At 34.1% G+C, this 11,612-nt stretch overlaps 1 annotated feature.

The window, feature by feature from the left end:
• Positions 9,098-9,599: an enhancer, noted in NCBI's record as "NANOG hESC enhancer chr2:188565262-188565763 (GRCh37/hg19 assembly coordinates)". NCBI's record gives its function as "activates a minimal SCP1, AML or CMV promoter by ChIP-STARR-seq in primed H9 embryonic stem cells {active_cell/tissue: H9 hESC(primed)}" and the evidence as "EXISTENCE:reporter gene assay evidence [ECO:0000049][PMID:30033119]".

Raw genomic sequence — 11,612 nt, forward strand, 5'->3', positions numbered from 1 at the left:
AAAATTGTTAATGAACACCCCTCCCTCCATCATATGTTTGTCACCTTTTATGGTCCCTGCTTTATTTACTGTATTTTTTCTAGTAACACTTATTAACACCCAACATACTTTTATCTATCATGCTTATAGTTTAAAGCCAGTCACTCCTAGCTAACATCCTAATTTCCTACAAGCTAGAATATGTGCCTGTTTTGTTAACTGATGAATTCTAAGTACTTAGAACAGTGTATGGCTCATATTGAACACTCAATAAATATTAGTTGATTGGATAAATATTATGTTAAATCACTTCAGTTTAGATTGTATAGAAATAAAATTTGTATTGCATTCAATGATTACTATCATTTGAATATTGTCAGTGGGGCATCATAATAAATGGACTTTCATTTTGTGTATGTTAGCTTGGCAACAACGTTGTTGAAAAGCTTGTACCTAAAATACTTGAAATTTCTATTTGATGCCACTTATAGAGAGATTATAGAAAATCTAACGAGACTATTATAAGCTTCTTTAGCACTGAAAGAAATATCTTACTTCCATCAGAGGGATTTAGGTGATCCAGATTCTAACCCTAGGTCATATACAGGATCATTGTATAACCTCAGGCAAAGTACTTGAGAGTGAACATCTTTTGCTTTCGAAATAGAGAAAATAATTGCCCTGAAATTTTTATGTATAGTTGAAAGTACCAAGAGAGATTATGTTAGGGAAAATGCATTATAAACATATATAAATGTTCTATGCATGTAATTACTCAAATTATATAAATTATACATAAATATGTATAATGTTTCAGATTTTGACTTTGGATTCTGATGTATCAAAAGACTTCTCTAAATTCAAATTTGTTCTGTAGCATGAAACAATAATAAACTATGAAGACTTTAATGATTTATAAAAGTTTAGAAACATTTTCAAATGCATTAATTTAATTTAAAAATTCCGTTCTCAAGAGAGATTTATTCTAGCTAAGAAACAAATGAAGCATATTTATCGTTAAAATCCTTCCAAATGTGTTTCTAATACAAAAGGAAATGAGTTTTTTTCACTGACATTATAGTACAGTAATGGAAAGAACAAACTTTAATGCAAATTGTGTTCAGCTCTGATTGCAACAATTATACATTATCTTAAGAATAGTTTGTAGTAGATGATCAATGTTCAGATTATCAAGGTAAAATGTAAAGGTTTGTAATAATTATTGTATAAATGATATCTATATAATAACAGTAATTTATTGTTTTATTTATAGCATATGTATTTCTATGTAAGAATAGTTATATTTATAATCATTATAGCATAATCCACACTATTCAAAACTCAAAATTTAATTTTAGAATAATTTTATGCTAACATTGAGATTTATACAAATTACAAAATGTTTTTGAATATGTGATACTCTTACATTTTCAAAACTATTGATTAAAAAAAGGTATATTAATCCTATTTCAAGGATGAAACTTTTAGCAACATCACACAACAGCCAAGCTTACTGACTTTATATTCCTATATTCTATATCATGGCTCATTATTATTTATGTCTTTTCTTATAAGATTTGTATATGGGTTTTATATGTGTGTATCTCCAACCTATATAATTTAGAAAATGTTTGTACATATAGCAAAAAGACCAAGACAGTTGTTAATTACCATAAGTTAATTTACTAACCTATCCAGATAAAATCACTAAATGTTTTATCTCTACTTTTATAGATTAGAATGAATATGCCGCTAGTATAATATATTAAGAAAATAGGAAACATAATTAACTGAAAATAAATTGTAAGCTTTAACATTTTAAAAAGTCAAAATAGCAGAATATGGTGGAAAAAATACATATTTGTCACCAGATCAATTTGAATTTTAATAATGGCTGTGACCATTAGCAAGTTTCAAACTTTTCTAAGCCTTGAATTCCTCATGTGCAAAATGGGAAAAACTACCTTATATACCCTTACATTCTTGGAAAGAACAAATGAAAATTCTGATAAATATGTGTAAATTAGATGTAACAGTGTGCTACCAAAAATATGATTGCAATAATATTTTGATAACTAGTAATCTATATATGTATATGAATATGTTATGTATGAAATGAAACTCATTCCATATGATATATGTTATGTATTAAATGTTATATATATGTAAACACATACATATGTAGGAGCAGATAGAAGAATATACACATACACAATTTTCCTACATCCATGCTGTCTGAATAATAGCTTTAAAATTTGAAATATATATAAATTGTCAAAAATAGCATTTAACACATTTTTATCCAAGAACACTTATTTCCTTGAAAATTTGAGTTTGGCATATATAACTTTCAACCAACTCATATTTACTAAACATTCAATTTCAAAAATGTTAATAGATATTATATCTTATACTTTATTTAACAAGCACTTTCATTTTACCCCCAGAAAAATCCTGTGTGCAACATGCTACAAGTGTCATAGTTATATGTCACCAAACAGGTTTATAATATAGGACAATTTGAAACAGATTATTCAAAAATTTTGTTTACTTTTAATTGACAAATGAAAATTGGGTACAATGTGATACTTTGATACCCATTGTATCTGTGATAATTTGATACTGTGATAATTAAATCAATCTAATATATCTAACATCTCACATACTTACCATTTTTTTTGTGATGAGAACATTTAAAATCTACTCTGTCAGCAATTTTCCAGTATACAGTACATTATTAACTATCATCACCATGCTGTACACTAGATCTCCAGAACGTATTTCTCCTATATAACTGAAACTGCTTACCCTTTGATGAACAACTCCACATTACCGCCCTCTTCCTACCCACGCCAGCCCTTGGTAACCAGCATTCTACTCTCTACTTCTGTGAGTTTGATTTTTTAGATTCCACGTGTAAATGACATCATTTGGTAAATACACAAAAATTTGTCAGTAATTTTTCTTTTCTGTGTCTGGCTAATTTCACTTAGCATATTTTTTCCAGTTTCATCCATGCAAATGATGATATTTTCTTCTTTTTTAAAGGCTGAATAAGTATTTCATTGTGTGTGTATACCACATTTTCTTTATCCATTCATCTATTGATGGACATTCAGCTTGATTCCATATCTTGATCATTGTTTATAATGGTGCAATGAACATGGAAGTGCAGGCATCTCTTTGACATGCTGATTTCATTTCCTTTGGCTATATACCCAGAAGTGGAATTGCTAGGTCACATGGTTGTTCTATTTTATATTTTTGGGAAACATCCATACTATTTTTCATCATGGCTGTACTAATTTACATACTCACCAACAATGTAAAAATATTTACTTTTCTCCATATCCTCACTAACCCTTGGTATCTCTTGTCCTTTTGGTAAAATCTTTTCTAACAGATGTGACATTATATCCCATTGTGCTTTTAATTTACATTATCCTGATGATTCATGATGTTAAGCATTTGGTAATATATGTGCTGATCATTTCTATGTTTTCTTTTAAGAAATGTCTATTGTGGTCCTTGGCCCATTTTAAAGTCAGGCTATTTGTTTTCCTGCTATGAGCTGTTTGACTTATATATTTTGTATATCAACTCCTTCAGATGTATGGTTTGCAAATATTTTATTCCATTCCATATGTTTTCTCTTCACTCTGTAAATTGCTTCCTTTTCTGTGCAGAAGCTTTATAGTTTGAGGCAATCTCATTTGTCTGTTTTTACTTTTATTGCCTGTGCTTTTGGGGTCATATCTAAAAAATATTTGCAAACACAAATGTCAAGAGACTTTTCTCAATGAAAGGTTATTTTTTAAAAAAATAAACAGTGTGTTTTATGCTACTATAGATTAAAAATAATATTTAAATGCAAGCAAAAGATGAACTAAGCTTAATAACATACTGCAGATGAATTTTCTTAGTATTTGATAAACTCAGAGTTGCAATTAATTAGATAGGCATAAAAGTCATCATTAGGAATTTTATATGAAATATTTTAACACAAAACATTCACCTTGCATTCACCTCCATCTATTTTACTGTTCTCTTATAGGCTGTGCTAGGAAAAATGATATAGGATCACTGAAAAATATTTGGTCATCAAACATGCCCCATGTTCTCCAGTGCAACGTATCCAATAAAGCAGAGAAGGGAGAGTAAGATATTTAAAAAGTTTTTTTATCTGAAACAAATATTCATTTTTTGAAAAGTTAAGGCATTTAAAAAGTTATGTCATTCAATATCCACATAAACAGCAAATGATTAATCAGATTTTTATTGAAAAAAATGTAGGTTTTAGTGATTTTAAGAGTAACATGCCATATAAATCAATTTTATGCATGTTTCAAATGATTTTTACATAAAAACATTATATGTAGAATTTATTATATAGCGTTAGAACAAGCCTTTATATTGATGTTAGAAATTGATGTGTACACATAAAAATGATATACATGAAGTAAAGACATAAATGTGGGCTTTAGGCAATGATTGACATCATAGAAGAATCTAGTAGGAGTTTAAGAAGCTACAGTATCTTTCATTTACTAATTCTTTTTAAAGAAGTTCTCAAAAACTACAAAAGGAAAGACTAATGCAGGTATCTCATCTTCAGCATGTTTCTAAACACCATTGTGACAATATTCAATTTCTAATATTTATCACTTATACTACTTCTACATCCAGAAAGAAATTGAGACTGATTACCATTATAAATCTATTACAAAGTAGAAGTAGATACAAAAACCAAAAATTTAGTGATTTGATTTTTATAAATTTTATAAAAGTAAAAATAACAGTATTTTTTCACTAACAGATAATGCCTAAAATAATTACTAAAATTATATATATCTGATATTATATTTATGTTAATTCATTGTAATTCCATAATTTTGTTTGCTCAGAAAACTTACTGAATATAGCACATTGTCAACTCCATAATAAAAACTGTTAATTTTCACTTCAAGCACCATTGTGCTTGTTCTTTCATTAATGTGATGGCTATACATATTAATCTTACGATACATAAAACCAATGCAGGAATTAATAGACAAAACCCTTATTATCTTTATACGTATTATAAAATAACATATTGTTAGAGTGGGCAGATAGCCAGAAATGAGCAGGCTAGGGAGCCCCCTGGGAAAAGAAGTCTTAGAGGTGCTACCCACTGATAGTCAGAGCTGCACATTAACAGTAAGCAAAAGTGACAATGGTAATATGGTTTGGCTCTGCGTTCCCATCCAAATCTCATCTTGAATCAATAATCCCCACGTGTCAAGGGCGGGACCAGGTGGAAATATGGGTGACTCACGGGGGTAATTTCCGCCATGCTGTTCTTGTGATAGTGAGTTCTCACAAGATCTGATGGTTTTATAAGGGGCTTCCTCCTTCGCTGGGCACTCACTCTATCCTGCTGTCCTGTGAAAAGGTGCTTTCTGTGATGACTAAGTTTCGTGAGGCCTCCCCAGCAGTGTAGAACTGTGAGTCAATTAAAACTCTTTTCTTTATAAATTACCCAGTCTTGGGTATTTCTTCATAGCAGTGTGAGAATTGACTAATATAGCAAATTGGTACCAGAGAGTGGGGTGCTGCTGTAAAGATACTCAAAAACATGGAAGCCACTTTGAAACTGGGTAATAGGCAGAGATTGAAACAGTTTGGAGGACTCAGAAGAAGACAGGAAAAGGTAGGAAAGTTTGGAACACCCTAGAGACTTGTTGAATGGCTTTGACCAAAATGCTGACAGTGATATAGACAATGAAGTCAAGGCTGAGGTGGTCTCAGATAGAGATGAGGAACTTGTTAGAAACTAGAGTAAAGGCCACTGTTGCTATGCAAAGAGACTGGCGACATTTTTGCCCCTGCCCTAGAAATCTGTGGAGGTTTGAACTTCAGAGAGATGATTTAGGATACCTGTCAAAGAAGTTTCTAACTGGCAAAGTGTTCAATAGGAAACAGAGCATAAAAGTTTGGAAAATTTTCAACCTGATGTTGTGATTGAAAAAAAAAAAATTCTGAGGAGAAATTCAAGCCTGCTGCAGAAATTTGCATAAGTAATAAGGAACCAAATGCTAATGACCAAGACAATGGGTAAAATGTCTCCAGAGCACGGCAGAGACCTTTATAGCAGCCCCTCCCATCACAGACCTGGAGGCCTAGGAGGGAAAAATAGTTTCTGGGTCAGGACCAGGCCTGCTGCTCTATGCAGCCTCAGAACATGGTGCACTGCATCCTAGCTGCTTCAGCTCCATCCGTGGCTAAAAAGGGCCAACATACAGCTTAGGCCATTGCTTCAGAGGGTGCAAGCCCCAAGCCTTGGCAGCTTCCATGTGGTGTTGAGCCTGTGGGTGCACGGAAGTCAAGAATTGAGGTTTGGGAACCTCCACCTAGATTTCAGAGGATGTATAGAAACACCTGGATGTCCAGGCAGACGTTGGCTGCAGATGTGAAGCCATCCTGAAGAACCTCTGCTAGGGCAGTGCAGAAAGGAAATGGGGGGTTGGAGTCCCCACTAGGACATTGCCTAGTGGATCTGTGAGAAGAGGGCCAACATCCTCCTAGCCCCAGAATGGTAGATCCACTGACAGCTTGCACTGTATGCCTGGAAAGGCTGCAGACACTCAACACCAGCCCATGAAAGTAGCTGGGAGGGGGGCTGTACCTTGCAAAGCCACAGGGGTGGAGCTGCCTAAGGCTATGGGAGCCCACCTTTTGCCTCAGTGTAACCTGGATGTGAGATATGGAATCAAAGAGGATCATTTTGGAACTTTTAAGATTTGCTGAATGCCTTGTTGGATTTCGGACTTACATGGGTCCTGTAGCCCATTTGTTTTGGCCAATTTCTCCCATTTGAAACAAGTGTATTTACCCAATGCCTGTACCTCCACTGTATCTAGGAAGAATCTAACTTGCTTTTGATTTTACAAGCTCATAGGTGGAAGGCACTTGCCTTGTCTCAGATGAGATTTTGGACTTGGAATTTTGGGTTAATGCTGGAATGAGTTAAGACTTTGGGGAACTGTTGGAAGGGCATGATTGTGTTTTGAAATGTGAGGGTATGAGATTTGTGAAGGGCCATGGACAGAATGATAGGGTTTGGCTCTGTGTCCCCATACAAATCTCACCTTGAATCTTAATAATCCCCATGTTGCAAGGGCAGGACCACGTGGAGATAACTGAATCGTGGGGGTGGTTTCCACCATGTTGTTCTCATGATCATAATGAGTTCTCACAAGATCTGATGGTTTTATAAGGGGCTTCCCTCTCTGCTCACCACTCACTCTGTCCTCCTGCCCTGTGAAGAGATGCCTTCCTCTATGATTGTTAAGTTTCCTGAGGCCTCCTCTGCAATGCAGAGCTGTGAGTAAATTAAACCTCTTTCTTCATAAATTACCTAGTTTTGGGTATTTCTTCATAGCAGTTTGAGAACTGAATGAAATAAATGGCTACACTTGCTACTTCTGGCCTTGTGGTTTGGCTCCTCCAGCCCTAAAAGGAATTTATCCAGCCTCAGCTGGAGATAACCATGCTAGAGATTTTCCCTGCTGAAGAGCATGGACATTCCTCCAAGAACTCACTCTAGAGTAGCCTTTTGCTTATTATAATAGTAAAAAAAAAAATCCCTGAGTGGAGGTTTTTTTGTTTTTGTTTTTTGTTTTTGACAGAATTTTGCTCTTGTTGCCCAGGCTGGAGTACAGTGGCACAATCTCGACTCACTACAATGTCCACCTCCCCTCCCGGGTTCAAATGATTCTCCTGACTCAGCCTCCTGAGTAGCTGGGATTACAGGCACGCACCACCACGCCCAGCTAATTTTTTGTAATTTTAGTAGAGACGGGGTTTCATCATGTTGTCCAGGCTGGTCTCAAACTCCCAACCTCAGGTGATTCACCCACCTAGGCCTCTCAAAGTACAGGGATTATAGGCATGAGCCACTGTGCCTGGCCAGGTTGAGCTTTTAAATGCTAATAAGACATGCAACATGTGTACTACTAGCATTTACAACCATGGAGCATGTGTGTTCAAAGGGAACTCAAACATGTTTGCAAATAACATCCCCTCATGCCCCTTCAAAACTAATGATGTAAGATTCTCATAAAGAGAGTCCCCTAGCACTAGCTGCTGCTGGCTCATTCTTTCAAGCAGATTCTGTCCCATCTCTCAGAGTGTACTGTCTCTTTAAATAAACACTACTGCTACTATTTTTGCAAACTGAACCAGCCTGGAGCTGTTTTTTACTTCACTCTAGGAACGTACTTTATCTTCCTTCAACAAAACCTGCTACTTAACTCTTGTTGCATCTCTTGGTTGAATTTTTTCTTCCAAGTTAGATAAGACCTGAGGATTCCCACAGTTCCTGGTAACAATATCACAAGGAAATAGTTAAAATGCAGACTATACATCTCTTTTCCTTTTTCTTCATTTAATAGTTAGGTATTTGAGCAAACTTATTCTCTGTAATCCACAGTTTCCTCATCTCCAAAATCATATTAATGATAGCACTTGCCTTATATGAAAGCCCTTAGTCTGATACTTAGTACAGTATAGCAACTTAATCCAATTAATATAGATTGGCTGTGTCCCCACCCAAATCTCATCTTGGATTGTAGCTCCAATAATCCTCATGTGTCATGGGAGGGACCCAATAGGAGGTAACTGAATCATGAGGGCAAGTTTTCCCATGCTTTTCTCGTGATAGTGAATATATCTCATGAGATCTGATGATTTTATGAAGGGAAATTCCCCTGCACATGCTCTCTTGCCTGCTGCCATGTAAGACATAACTTTGCTCCTCCTTCACCTTCTGCCATGATTGTGAGGCCACTCCAGCCATGTGGAACTGTGAGTCCATTAAATCTCTTCGTCTTTATAAATTACCCAGTCTCAGGTATTTCTTCATAGCAGTAAGAAAATGGGCTAATACACCAATCCTTCCTTCCTTCAACAGGAATTTTGATACCTTCACATAAGATTACCACACAGGATAAAATTGTATAATATAGGGGATAGCATTTGTAAACTCTAAATTAGTACATACTCTTTAGAAATTATGATTATTTAGAATGCTTAAAACTTCCAGTGTTTACTTGAGAAAAGTTAATATTTATTGATTCTTCAGCATGTGCCAAAGGCTTTTGAATACTTTGCATGCTTTATCTCATTTAAACCCCTAACAACCTATTGGGATAGATGTTATTAGTTATCTTTTACAGAAGAGGAAACTGTGGCTCAAATGTTGTTTAACTTGCTCAAGGTCATGTATCTAGTAAGCAGTTAAGTCACTGTTAAAATTCAGGCACTATGACTGCAGAGTCTGTCTTCCTAACAAATGTGCCATGCTACCTAAAGAATCATGGCATTTCCTGTCATTAACTGCTATGATAATGGGCACTTTTGTTATTCCAATAAGCTTAGGCAATAAATATACTGAGCGTCACATAGGCAAGGCAGTATTTAATAAGATCAATGAAATTGTTATGTAATAAATCAGAATGAAAATTTATATTTCATTATATATACTAGAAAGGCATATGTAATTGAAACTTGATTAGCTATAATATATACAGTGAGTCTTAACATCATCAACAGGTTTTGGACACTGTGACATTAAGTGAAAAAAGATTTAACAGAACCAATTTTATCATAAGCTACTCAATATAAACAACAGTCAAATTCCTACATCATATTTCTGGTCACAAATCATTGCCAAACTTTAAACTAGGGCTCAAAACATCTGTAGTATCAAACATTTAAATAAATGTGAGCTATACATACGTTTAAGAAAGATTACCAAGCACAAGTAAGATTACTGTTCACATGCTTATTTCAGTTCAGAATTGCAGCTCAGTGTGCAAGGTAGAAATCAGCTGTGGACAGGATGCCTTCCCATTACAGGGTTTACACATGCACACCAACACTCATGCAAACTGGGAACATTAGACACATGAATGAACCTAACGTGCACATCTTTGGGATGTGAGAGGAAATCAGAGTACCTGGATGAAACTCATGCAGACATGGGAAGAACATGCAAACTCCACACACTTCCAGCTCCAAACAGAAGAGATTATATCCAAAGGGCATTGAACAAAATGATGTTATTCAACTTGCTGTAATAGCTTTAATGAAGATTCTCATTTCATATTATTAAATAATATAAAATACTTAGCATTAGTAAAATACATCAAGTTGTGATAAAAAAGAGCAGGTAAACACAAATTTTAATACAAATTACTTAGGTTAAATACATATATTTGTAAATTTTGTTCTGCTATTGGAAGTTTCACACTTTATTGAATTGGAAGAATTTATTTCACCTTAAACCATACTGAAACAAATATCCGGTGATTAATAAGTCAATAAACAAATAGCCATATTCTGCACATAAATAGAAACTGAACATTTGTACTTTAAAATGCAATTCTATCAAATTGCTTCACTAATGTGAAATACAAAGGAAAATATGCAATTAAGTCATTTTTACAACTGTCATAAATTTTAATGAATAGTTTTCAAAGTACACTCCATTTTATTTTAATGTTTAAAAGAATTTTATTTCTTCATTGTACACAGCATTCTTGCTTCAATAATTCTGTATTTTCCTTTTGAAAAAGCAAATTCTGTTACACTTTCATATTTGATTTCTGTTCATTCTATCTTATTTTTACAAATTAACCCCACATTCTTTCATAAACCTTAATTATGCTACTTCTGTAAAATCCTTTATAATAATTTGAATCAAATCAGTATAAAAGATTACCAAGGGATATAGTCATCAGTCTATTTAAAGTCAACATGAAGGAAAGAATTCCAAGAGCAGTAAGACAAAATCATTAGGTAACCTACAAAGAAAAACCTATTAGACTAACAACCAACTTTTCAGCATAAACCTTGGATGCCAGAAAGGATTAGGGACCTATCTTCGACTTCCTTAAACAACAACTGTGGGCCAAGAATTTGACATCCTGCAAAACTAAGTTTCACAAATGAAGGAGAAATAAAGTCATTTCCAAATACTGAGGGAATTTGTCACTACCAAACATGCACTATAAGAAATGCTAAAAGGAGTTCTAAACCTCAAAATCAAAAGGCCAATATGCACCAAAGTAGAACCTCTTGAAAACTAAAAACTCACAGAGTCTGTAAAACAATAACACAATAAAACCAAAACTATCTAGGTAACAATTAACATGATGAAGAGAAGAGTATCTCACATCTCAATATTAATGGTGAATGTAAATGGCCTAAGTGCTCCACTTAAAAGAAATAGAATGGCAGAATGAATAAAAGGTCATGATTCAAATATCTGCTGTCTTCAATAGACTCACCTAACACAGAAGTATTCATATAAACTCAGGGTAAAAGAGTAAAAAAAGGTATTCCACACAAATGGAAACCTAAAGCAAGCAGGAGTAACAATTCTTGTATCTGACAAAACAGACTTCAAAGCAACAATGGTGAAAAAAACAAAACTGATCACTATATAATGATAAAAGGATCAATTCACCAAGAAGAATCACAATCCTAAATTTATACACATCAAACACTAGAGTTCCTAGATTCATAAAAAGATTACTGCTAGACCTAAGAAATGAGATAGACAGGAAAACAATAATAGTGGGAGACTTCAA

This window comes from Homo sapiens, chromosome 2 (assembly GCF_000001405.40).
Source record: "Homo sapiens chromosome 2, GRCh38.p14 Primary Assembly".
In the NCBI taxonomy this organism is placed as follows: domain Eukaryota; kingdom Metazoa; phylum Chordata; class Mammalia; order Primates; family Hominidae; genus Homo; species Homo sapiens.